The sequence below is a fragment of the Homo sapiens genome, chromosome 2, assembly GCF_000001405.40.
Source record: "Homo sapiens chromosome 2, GRCh38.p14 Primary Assembly".
Classification (NCBI taxonomy): Eukaryota; Metazoa; Chordata; class Mammalia; order Primates; family Hominidae; genus Homo; species Homo sapiens.
In genome coordinates, this window is record NC_000002.12 from 18,748,447 (window position 1) to 18,761,790 (window position 13,344).

General features: G+C 34.7%; 1 long non-coding RNA gene across 8 annotated transcripts in view; it reads left to right on the forward strand.

Moving 5' to 3' along the window:
* LOC105373456 (uncharacterized) overlaps positions 1-13,344 on the forward strand; it is a 529,181-nt gene that overhangs the window by 188,271 nt on the left and 327,566 nt on the right. The window lies entirely within an intron of this gene.

Here is a 13,344-nt window from a genome sequence, read left to right on the forward strand (position 1 = left end):
CCTAGACTGAAGTAATATATTAACAATACTGTCTTCTATAGTTGCTTGCATTCATTTTATTTTTTCTTCAGTATGATTATTTTCTTTTTCTTTTTTTTAAATTTTACCTTAAGTTCCGGGATGCAAGTGCAGAATATGTAGGTTTGTTACATAGGTATACTTGTGCCATGATGGTTTGCTGCACCTATCAACCCGTCAATCTAGGTTTTAAGCCCTGCATGTATTAGCTATTTGTCCTAAGCTCTCCCTCCCCTCTCACCCCAGCCGCCGACTGGCCCCGGTGTGTATTGTTCCCCTCCCTGTGTCCATGTGTTCTCATTGTTCAACTTCCACTTATGAGTGAGAACATTATTTTCTTCATTTCAAATACAATTGGATTTGTTTCTTTTGCATTTAGTTTGAGGTTTTCCCTACCATCTTTGTTAATTTTATTTTTTACTATGTGGAATACTACTATGCTTCCCAAAGTCCAAACTACAAAATTATACACTCAGAGGAGTGTCACCCCTTCATTCCTGCTCCTCTGCTATCTAGGTGACAAATTTTGTTTATTTTAACCCTTCTCATGTTTCCTTATGTTAAAAAATTAGGTTTATATGTATTTTCATATTCCCTTTCCCATTTGCATAACAGATGACCTATATAGTCCTTTCACTATTTCTTTATGAAGACCCTATATAATACATTGTATATAACATGTTGTTGGACCCTGCCTTCTGCCCTGTTCTTGCTGTGGATTTATAACACCTTCATATTGTGGCTATGTAGAGAAAAGATACCTCTGAAGCCTTTTTTCTGCACTCCAAGGCTTAACATAGAATTGGCCTCTCATAACCTTTTTTTATATAATTGATCTGATTATTGAATGGAACAAAAGGACAGCACTGAGCTATAACAGCGCATACTGAACTGTGATCACCATGACTCTGAAGTTGAAACCCTGCAGTCTTACATGAAAGACTCAGCTCCTTCTGTTATTCACTCATATGGATCTTACACAGCTGCCACCCGGAAGTACTTGATCCTCATTCTAACATGTTTTCCAAACCTTTAAGAATTTGAAATTCCATTTTAGTTGTCCAGAATTCTCTTTCCACCTTTTATGCCCGGTCAACATTTAACCATCTAGTTAAAGGTGAGTGATTTGTCTAACTTACTTGTTAGATAGCTCTCGTTAAACTGCTCTGGCAAACTTAGTATTTCTATAACAACACTTTAGAAACATCTCAACTATAGCACTTTTTGGCCTGTATTGGAATAATTGGTTTACGTTTAGTCCCATAGCCTCCGCTATGAGATTTTGAGTTCCCTCGGTATCAGGACCCTTCTTTATCTCCAGTGATTAACACAGTTACTGCTTAAAAATTGTTTGAATAATTTAATAAATTGATAAGACCTTTCCCCACTTTGAATCTTAGTTTATTTTGTATGTTTAAAAAAGGGTCTACTTGAGATTCTACAGTATTCATTTCAAACTCTAACAGTTTGAAATCTAGAAGATGAGATACCTCTCTCTTTCATCTTCTAGCATTCTTTATATATATACATATATTTCTTGTTTATTATTTGTTTCTAGTTTATTATGTATCTAGTTTAAATATATATGTGTGTGTGCATATATATATTTCTCCTTGACTAGATTCACCACTGACAGGAAGGGGGCGCCATTTAACAGCCTGTGGAGAAAGAAAGTTTTTGTGACTTCTTTTATAGAAAGGGATGGTATTATTATCCTAGCTGAAATTGAAATATATTTTATTCTCCTCTCTGAAATGTCGATTTACTTAACATTTGACATTGGAATTGAGAAAAAAGCCAAGGATACCTCATCTAAGCTCCTTTGCAAATTATGCACAGCACTGATTATTCTCCTTCTAAATTTCATGTGGGTTTATGAAAGGTAACAAAGAATAGTTGATAACTCTTGATATAACAGAAATGTATTAATACATATCATGTATATGACTATGGGTGGATGTGTGTGTGCATTAATTACAGTGTAACATCTGGAATTTGGGGAGGGTTACTTTTGAGCAAAAACTGACACCAAAGTGTACTTACAATGCCTATGTCTACCAGGATAAGCAGAAAAAGCATTTCTGTCTGTTTGTTGTGTCACTTAACAGACGCTTTGTATTAAGATGGTGTCCATATTTCAAGGCCTTTAGCACCTGAAACAATTCAGAACCCAGACCATGTGGTGGTCCCTTAGAATTCTACGTATCTCTGAGGTCTAAGTAATCAGACTCAGGACCAGGCTGTCTTATTTAAAGGGGAGACATCTTGGTAAAAGCCTCTTGAAGCTGCCTGTTCCTACTTTCTGGTTACCTGAGTTGTTTTGGTCTAAGTTGCTTCAATTGTCTGGGCCCAGCCCCACAAGGCACAAATAGGTTTGTTATTTTAAGAGGCAACCTGAAGCCACTCTCTCGTGCAGTTACATAAATAAGACCAGGCTGGCTTGGAAAGGGTGTAAATCTCTGGCCAAAATGAGAGAAGGGGGAGTCATTTGCTTTCAACCACAGTTAACATGCTGACTGAATTTCCAAATAAACTTTTATCTCTTAAGACTGATTGCTAGTGATGGTTATAAAAATGAGTGTTAGAATGTAGCCAAGGAAGTGACCACACCTTTCCAGATTCTTCCTTAGTTCTGTCTTCAGTGGTTATTTTCCTAAAAACCAAGAAGAGGTAGCTCTGGTTCCTAGGTGTAACTCAGCTTTCTTGTAGACAGAAAAGAGGAGTATCCCCCATCATTCAGCTTCTCTTGTACCCCCTCTTTTCTGCAAATTACAGTAAACAAAGGTGAACAGGAGAGATGAGTAAGAACACAAATCTTAACCCAGTCGTTTCTTTCTGCATGGGGTGTGCTGAGTCGTCCTGCCTTTGCCTTCTTGTATTGCACAGAAAAACCTTCAAGCAGCCAAAGGAAAATGCCTCATCTTTGAGTGAAATTCTTGTAGGTATTGCAAAAGGAGTTAGAGGGACTTATCCCGCCTGCACATTTCTACAACATTGTACAAGTTAGAAAATGTTGCTTGTAGATTGTAGTTGACAGTGTTCTTAGAAAAGTAACAACCGTAGCATTTCTTTGAGGTCCTACATTCATTTAGCTTTCTGCTTTCTTCTCCCTTGATTTAGAATTTTATTTTTCCTGAAGAACAATTTTTTATGCTGCCAATGCACACAATGCAAAATAGCAAAAATTTGATTTTTCTCCCACAATTAAACTATACTTTTCTACATTAGGTTAGATATTCGTGGTAAAAAGCAATAATTATGAATTATTGTTTTTTCTCACTTTTTAGAATCTGCACATCTTAAAATAGTTTTAAGCACTTTTAAGGAATTTGCTTCAGTTTGTTTTGGATGACATTTATTTTTTTCCTCCCTCTGAAACAAATATATTTTTTCTTTTTTCTTTTATCCCTCCTCTTTTGTAATTCATATTACCAATGAAAGCCCTTTTGAACAAGCAAACGAAAATCCTGTGATAATTGAAATAGAAGCATCCAAATATGATGTCCTGGTAAATATTTATAAATATGAGATACAGACTTTCTTCTGATGCCCTCAAATGCTGGTCACCATAGAGCACTGAAAAGAATTATGACTCAATAAACTGCATGCTGACATATAACTAAATAAGTAAATAACTGGAGTGAAGGCCAACTGCTGCTTAACAGCTTCCCCAGTTACGTACACACTTTCAAACAAGCATGAAATGTAGGTCTCTGGACATCGCTTAAAAGAACCACAAATAAACAGAGTGTGATCCCACACTCCTATTCCTTCCGGACAGCTAGAAAGCTTGGCTGGGAATTGGGGTGGTTTTTGTTGCTCTTCTGTCCTGTGCACTGTAAACACAAACCCTGCTCAGAGCACCAGGGTCGTGCTGCTGCTGACAGAGTCACTGAGCCTGGAAAAGTGAGGAGTCGAAGAGCCTGTGACCTTTGGCCCATCACCTCACCTCCGATTTTGCAAAGAATCACGCTCCAGACTTGGATACGTCGATTGTAACATCTGGGCTAAGTCAGCCGAAGGGACAGGGAGCCTGATTTGCCAGTTCTCAAGTGTGGCTCTCTTTTTTCACATGCAAGATATATGTTAAGCTCAAGCTCTGCAGTTTGGGGTCAAACAGATGCCAAAATAGTAGAACATTTTCATGGAATACATACCTTTTACATTAAACATAAGGTTGAAGCTGAAAGGCTCGTTAGATGTTATCTATTGTGACTTTTTCTTTCTACATATAAGGAAACTGAGGCAAAGAACAGAGTTCACAATAGAGCTCAAATGCCCTCGTTCTTGGACCACTGCCATCCTTGGACGTTTAACTGTCTGTATCAGTTACCTGTAGCTACATAGCAAACCATTCCAAAAGTAATGATGTCAAACAACAATGATTTATTATTTGTCACAATTCTGTGTTTGCTTAGGCTCACTCAAACCACTAACATGCACCAGGCCAGTTGGCTGGAGGCTGGGCTCACCTGCATGGCTGAGATGGCTGGGCTCTTTCTCTCTACTTGGTCTTTCACCCCAGACTTCTTCACAGCTTGAGGATTCGTGGAAAGAGATCCAAGAGGTCAAGCCCTGGTGGGTGGGCTTTTAATAAATACCCACTTACTGTCTTTGTTGATATCCACTGTCCAAAGCAAATCGCTTAGCCCAACTCAAAATGAAGTGGAAGAGGAATGCACAAGAGTGTGCATCAGTCAGGAGAAGCCTGACCAATTGTGGGGTGGTTACTGCAACAATCTTCTGTACTGCTTATGAAAATGCTCCCCCAAGCGTTCTATATAATAATGGTATCCTGCAAGATAGTAAGCAGCCTTCCTAGCAAAAAGAATCTCCCTAGTCAAGTTTGTAAGAGTTTCTCGAAGAAGAAGAGGTGAAAATGGCATTTTCCAAATGTATTTGACTGAGATTTTCTTTTCCTTGTAAAACAGCTATTAATATCATGGAAAACACTTTTGAAAAGACAAGCCTCGGGCATTAGTACCTACAGGGTATTAGTACTACTACTAATGCCTTATTAAGTCAACAAGACCTTTGCAAAATCCCTGAAGATCTTCTGGTTTTCAGATTCATGTCTTTTCATTTTTTACTGGATCATCTTTTTTTTTTTTTTTTTTTTTTTTTTTTGAGTCTCGCTCTCTCACCCAGGCTGGTGTGTGGTGGCACAATCTCAGCTCACTGCAACTTTCCACCTCCTGGGTTCAAGTGATTCTCATGCCTCAGCCTCCCGAGTAGCTGGGATTTACAGGCACCTGCTACCATGCCCAAGCAATTTTTGTATTTTTATTAGAGACCAGGTTTCACCACATTGGCCAGGCTGCTCTCAAACTCCTGACCTCAAGCAACCCGTCCGCCTCGGCCTCTCAAAATGCTGGGATTACAGGTATGAGCCACCATACCCAGCCAGGATCATCTTGTAAGTCATAAATTTCAGTCTACTGCAACTGGCCCTTCTGTTTTTAGTGTCTGTTTATGCTGTTTGTTACAAGCTGTCCAAGTGAGCACATGAACTTTCCGTCTGGCCCAGAGCAGTAGGTTGCTAACAAAGCATTGATAGGGTGTAACTGGCATGGATAAAAGCAAGTCCCAAGAGTCTACTTCATTTTTCTGAGTCTTAGCTTTCCCTGTGCTAAAAATTGGAAAATCACAGTAGCCTTATAGATAGTTATGATGATAAAATATACAAATATATTTGGAAATATTTTGTGATCTCCAGGTGTTACACAACCATTATCCAACTCCAGTTAAATGTTAATAGATTTGTTATAATCAGGGTTTGATTGCTTTTTAAGTATAGCATAGACCTCCAAAGTGCCCAGCTAATGCCAAGAATCAGTGAAATTCTGAAAATGCTAATGTGATCATGTTACTGCCCTTTTAAAACCTCTCCAATGGTTTTTTACCACTAAAATTAGCTTTTAAGGGCTTATGTGATTGATGCCTGCTCAGATCTTCAGCCTTCACAGCTCACAAGCCAACCCTGACCCATCCCTTTTTCCTTGTTTGCTTCAGCAGAATAGTCTTTTGTTTCCTAGATACTGTCTGTGGCTCTGGTCATTTGCACAGACAATTCTCTTCTTCCCTGCTCAGACCATTCTTTTTCCATGATGAGTAGCATCCCCCGCCCTCATCCTTTCTAGCTTCTCCCACTGTAAGTCCAGGTTAGGTGCTGACCTCTTCCACTGGGCATCCAGACCATCATGTTTTCCTCCATTTCAACATTAAACCAGTAGGCTCATTGCTTGATTTCTTGTCTCTCTTTCAAACACTATTAAGTAGGTATTCCTTAAACACTTTCTGATTGAATGGATGAATGTATTATTATTTAATACATCCATGAAGAAATCAGTGCCCTGGATAGTATTTTGTGTAGCCTTGGAATGGAAGAGTGTGATGAAGCCTCCATGAAACCCTATGGAGTGGATTAAAGTTATATATTTAATATATTATATATATAACTTTATAATATATAATATATATTATATATAACTTTATAATATATAATATATATTATATATAACTTTATAATATATAATATATATTATATATAACTTTATAATATATAATATATATTATATATAACTTTATAATATATAATATATATTATATATAACTTTATAATATATAATATATATTATATATAACTTTATAATATATAATATATATTATATATAACTTTATAATATATAATATATATTATATATAACTTTATAATATATAATATATATTATATATAACTTTATAATATATAATATATATTATATATAACTTTATAATATATAATATATATTATATATAACTTTATAATATATAATATATATTATATATAACTTTATAATATATAATATATATTATATACTATATATAATATATAACTTTATAATATATAATATATATTATATACTATATATAACTTTATAATATATAATATATATTATATATTATATATAACTTTATAATATATAATATATATTATATATAACTTTATAATATATAATGTATATTATATATTATATATTATATATTATATATAACTTTATAATATATAATGTATATTATATATTATATATAACTTTATAATATATAATATATAATATAATATATAACTTTATAATATATATATCATATATTATATATAACTTTATAATATATATCATATATTATATATAACTATAATATATATATCATATATTATATATAACTATAATATATATATCATATATTATATATAACTTTATAATATATATATCATATATTATATATAACTTTATAATATATATCATATATTATATATAACTTTATAATATATATCATATATTATATATAACTTTATAATATATATTATATATAACTTTATAATATATATCATATATTATATATAACTTTATAATATATATCATATATTATATATAACTTTATAATATATATCATATATTATATATAACTTTATAATATATATCATATATTATGTATCACTTGCAGTGTATATATCATATATTATGTATCACTTGCAGTGTATAGGTCATATATTATGTATCACTTGCAGTGTATAGGTCATATATTATGTATCACTTGCAGTGTATAGGTCATATATTATGTATCACTTGCAGTGTATAGGTCATATATTATGTATCACTTGCAGTGTATAGGTCATATATTATGTATCACTTGCAGTGTATAGGTCATATATTATGTATCACTTGCAGTGTATAGATCATATATTATGTATCACTTGCAGTGTATAGATTATATATTATGTATCACTTGCAGTGTATAGATTATATATTATGTATCACTTGTAGTGTATAGATTATATATTATGTATCACTTTATAATATAATATATATTATAACTTTATAATATATAATATATTATATATTATATATAACTTTATAATATATATAATATATTATATATAACTTTATAATATATATAATATATTATATATAACTTTATAATATATGACTAATATATATTATATATTTAAATTATAAAATCCTTCTTTAAGAAAAGAAAGTAAAATGAATGTCTTTATAGTCAAGAAAGGTCAGGTTTTTAATGATCACCCTTTCATGACTTATCTCCTAGAGAAAAGGAACTTCTTTCTGTAAAACTCAAGAATGAATCCTGTGTATAGTGGGATGGTGGTGAGTGAGGGGGAGTTAAGAGATAGAAGCCAGTTGGAGAATTGTTTGGTTGGCTATGGGAAATCCAACTTCAGAGTATGAAATTGGGCCAGCCTAACCCTTGCTGTGAAATGAGATGTGATTCTGAGAGGGAATCTAGATTTACACAGGGATAATTACTCTATAATCAACGTTGTGTATGAGTGTGTTGTGTGTGTGTGTGTGTGCATATGTGATGAGCATGGGGCATCTGGAAGGTTTTGGGTAGATCTGTGGTACAAAAGTGTACATGTCTGGTTTGTACAGAAACAGAAGTCATGTACAGAAATAGGCATATCCAGTCAATTAAATTTCATTGATTAGGTTAAATCATCTAATAGTTTTCTTTGATAAAATATTTTTGATTAGAGATTAGCACAGCTCTTTGCTATTATCCTTTTAAAACTTATTCACTTCCTCCTGCTTCTTTGTGTGTGTGTGTGTGGGTGGGTGGGTGGGTGGGGGTGGTGTATGTGTGTGTGTGGCTGTGTGTGTGTATTAGAGTTTTTCTGGAAGTAAATATTCAGAAAAGCTTTAAAATAGTAAAAATGACAGAAAACCTCCTAATGGTATGGTTGCTAAAATCAGGGTCATTTTAATTTTATTTAAGTTCTGGGGTACACCTGCAGGATGCGCAGGTTTGTTACATAGGTAAACATGTGCCATAGTGGTTTGCCGCACCCATTGGCCCATCACCTAACTATTAAACCTTGCATGCGTTAGCTATTTTCAAGTCAGGGTCATTTTTACATTAAATTTAAGTGTCCAACAATGTTTTTAAAGTTTTTTTCCACTGAATTTTAGATTAGAACATGCGCTTTGCATATACCTAAAAGAATTTTATGAGACAATAGAGTTCATATTAGAAAACATATTGAGCAATAGTGACTATCTTAGTCTGATCCTGCTGCTAAAACAAAATATCTTAGATTGGGTAATTTATAAACAACAGAAATTTATTTCTCACAGTTCTGGAGACTGCAAAGTCCAAGATCAAGACACTGGCAGATTTGGTGTCTGGGTAAGTTTCACTCTCTGCTTCATAAATGGCAGCTCTTGCTGCATTCTCCACATGGCAGATGAGGAAAGAAAGAACAAACAGATTTTCTTATGCCCTCTTACAAGCGCACAAATTCCACTCACGAGGGCCCAGCCTTCATGACTTAATCACCTCGTAAAGGCCCTGCCTCTTAATACTATGGCATCGGGGATTAAGTATCAACATGAATTTTGGAGGAATACAAACATTCAAAACATAGCAGTGATGTTTAAAAACATTAAACATCCACGGAAGTTTGTGTCTCTGTTTTCAACCTTCATGTTCAATCATCACAGTACTACATCCCTATAGAAAGAGGCTTCCTTGAGTAAAGACAGAAAGCTGTGCTACACCATTTCCATATGGCAAGGGGAGGCAGTGAGGTCCTATCATGGAAAAGGATCTATGGAAACGCTGGGGAGGGGATGGGGCTTGGTTTTGAACACTCTATTCTTTTTAGGCTTGAGCAGTTTGATATGAACACATATCATTTGAACACATTTTTGGAAGAGACTGTTTCCAAAGTGCCTACTCAGGGGACTTTGTCTAGCCTGATATACAAAGTTCTCCAGAATCAGGCCCCACCAGCCCTGACCTCACCTGAGAGAGGGCACAGCAGGATGGTTAGGAGTTTGGTCTCTCTGGTACATGGAAGAGGTCTTTTTGGATCTCCAGTTTGTTATTTATTAGTGTAGCAACATGGGCAATGTACTTAATTTCTCTTGCCCCACATTTCTTCTTCTTTAACAATATGTACAATAGGGCCAGGCACAGTGGATCACACCTGTAATCCCAGCACTTTGGGAGGCGGGTAGATCACGTGAGGTTAGGGGTTTGAGACCAGCCTGGCCAACATGGCAAAACCCTGTCTCCACTAAAAAAAAAAAAATATATATATATATATATATATACACACACAAAAATTAGCCAGGCATGGTGGCATGCGCCTGTAGTCCCAGCTACTCAGGAGTCTGAGGCAGGAGAATCACCTGAACCTGGGAGGTGAAAGTTGCAGTGAGCTAAGATCACACCATTACACTCCAGACTGGGCAACAGGGCAAGACTCCCTATAAAAAAAATGTGTATAATAGCAATAATTATTGCTTGCTGCCTTGTCATGAGAATCAAATGGGGAAATGAATATATGCCTGGCATTTAAGCATTTAAAAAATGTTCAATCAGTGTTGGCCATTATATTTAGTTCAAGCTTTAGTTTTATAATATAGTTTATGGTTTTTAATTTATTTTGTTTTCTTTTTAAAGTTAAAGTAATATATGTACATGGTTTAAAAAGTCAAATAGGTCTACAAATTTGTATGAAAAACAGTAGATTTCTGCCCCCATTCTTCTCCACCCCATTACTATCTCTCTCCAGAGGAAATCACTTCCTATTCATTTAACTTATACTTTTGGTATTTACCTCACCCTCTCTAAATCAGAGCTTCTCAAACAGTAAGGAACAAATAGGCTACAGATTTGGGGAGATGTTGGTCCCCTCTTCCCTGGAGGTGGTCAGGTGGAACCCAAGGTGGTATGAGTTCCCATCTGTTGCCTCTAGTCTCAATCAGCCTTTTGCATTTATTCCTGTGTGCCTTATATTTATGTGTGTGTGTGCCATGTCTTGAACAAGGCTAAGAAGAATTGATAAATACAATGCTACTTACAGATGTTTCAGTTTAGGCATTATCCATTGACCTCACACATGTGTCTGCACACACTTCTCATTTCTTCCGCCCCTCCAATATAGTTATCATAATTTTGGTTGTATACATTTTCAGTGTTTCCTCTATTATAACTAGGTAAATCATAAACTGTGTAGTAAATGATAGTTTCTTTTTCTTTTCTGAGCAATTTTCCTTTCCTCTGGAATGAATACTTGATTTTTTTCTTTCTTTAGTTTTCTCTGTACATATCACTAATCCAGCCCGAATTTTTCATGAACTGTCAAAATCTTCAAGTATTCTTTTAATTTTATATTCCAGAAGAAATCTTATCAAAATTCTTAACATGTGCTCCTAGTGGATCTGTCTTCTCTGCTTCATGCACAGCTATTGCCCTACAATCGCCTTTGTTACCTTAGGGACTTTCTTTTTCCCATGTTAGACTCCCTCTTGTTTTAGCCATGTCTTCTGTTTTGATCATCTCCTTGTTTTGCTAGAGCTCATCACTCAGTAGTTTCATAAGAAAGGAATAATGAAAAATAACATTTTTTAGACTATGGCATGTCTTAAAATGTCTTTGTTCTAGTACCACTCAATTGAAAGTTTGGTTGGGTATAGAATTTTATGTCACAGCTCATTTTCTCCCAGAATTTGAAGACTTTGATGCATTGTCTTATATCTTCTAGCTCTGTTATTGTGAAGTTCAACCCTATTTTTGATACCTCATCCTTTGTATGTGACTATTTATTTCTCTTTTTGTAGATGTGTATGGTCTTTTCTGCAATTTCATGTTGCTCTATCTTGGTATAATTCTGTTTTCATTCACTGTGCCAGATACTCGGCAACTGATGTGCTTCAATTCTGAATATATTTTAATGTAGTTTTCCACTGTGATTTCTTTCTTCTTCTTCTTGTTTAATCAATGCTGTCTTCCTGAAACTCCTGTTATTTGGATATTAAAAATACCTAACTGATTTTAAGTTTTCTTTGTGTTCTCTCCTATTTTTCATTGCCTAGACATCTGGTCCTGCTTTTTAGGGAATTTTCCCAATTTTATGTTGCAACCCTCTTTCTACTGAAGTTTTTATTTCTGCTCTCATATTTATTTCCAAGACTCTTTTTAAAATTGTCAGATTAATTGTTTTTGTAAAGGGCTTCGGTTCTTATTTTATGAATGTTGTGTATTAATAACTTTGACTTCCTTCTTGCATTTTTCCCGTATTATATCTGAGTGGCTTTTTTGTCCTTTTTTATTTGCATTTAGGTCTCTATTTTTCATGTTAGCATTTATTTGAATGATCTGGTAATTTTTTACAGTGATGCCCTTAAAGGCTGATGTGAAATTCTGTGTACTGTGGTAGAACTTGTCAGCCACAGTCTTCAATGTAGAGATGATTTTGATGGGCTCCTTTGTGGAAGAAGCCTCAATGCTGAGCCCTTAATGTCTGCCCGCTTGGACTATTCATTGCAAGTATAGTAGATGTGCTGCTGAAGTGAAAGCCAACTGGGTTGTTCAGATTCCAGTCTTTTCCTTGCAGGATATTAGTTTAATTTTCAGTGTTTTAGAGACCTAGCAGTGATTAGACTGGGACTGGGGTATTACGGTGAATTTCAGCACTTAGCATATAAAAGGTGCACATAATTTCTTTAATTTCAGCGAGATAATACCATCGTTTGAACCTGAGAAGAGAATCTGAGGAGGTGTTTCTTAAGCAAGCCTTCAGTGAATTATTCTCTTTTTAGCCCAACTCTCATTTTTACTCTTAGAGGCACCTGGTGCTGAAGAACCTCTGAATGTTGTGGGGATTTCTGCCATAAATTTGGTCACATTTTAGCTTTTCTTACTCCAAACTTGGAATTCATATTGCTCATGTCTTCTATGTCATTTAGCATAAGTCCAATTGCTCGACCAATTCTAAAGTTTTGTTGTTTTCTCTTCTTCTATTATTTTGTTTTTATGGTTTTATGCCTTAAAACATTTTTTTCCTTGTGATTTTCTTAGGATTTCACAAAAAAGCAAGACTATATGCATGTACATTTATTTTACTATCTTTACCGGGAAATCTCACTTAGAGTTTTCTCTTCCGACTTTTTTATTATTCTGTCCTCTCAGGTTGTAATGTCTTCCTTTTGACTTTTTCTCCCTTCACTGACATCTGCCCATAGCCGTGGTTCCATCCTCAAGCCATCTTTAATAACTCCAGACCACAGGACTACATTTTCTTTGCCTTTAAAGCATTTTGATTTCTCTCTGCCTAGTACCTGGATTTTCACATGCCACTGCTACTGCTGCTGCTACCATAGCTATTTCTAGTAATAACAATATAACTGAACACCAACATTTACTGAATGCTAAGTGCTATTCTAATTGCTTCACATGTGTTTTCTTACCTTTTCCTTACAACTCTTTCGCTTTGGTATTGGTATCATTCCATTTTACAGATGAGAAAATTAAGGCAAT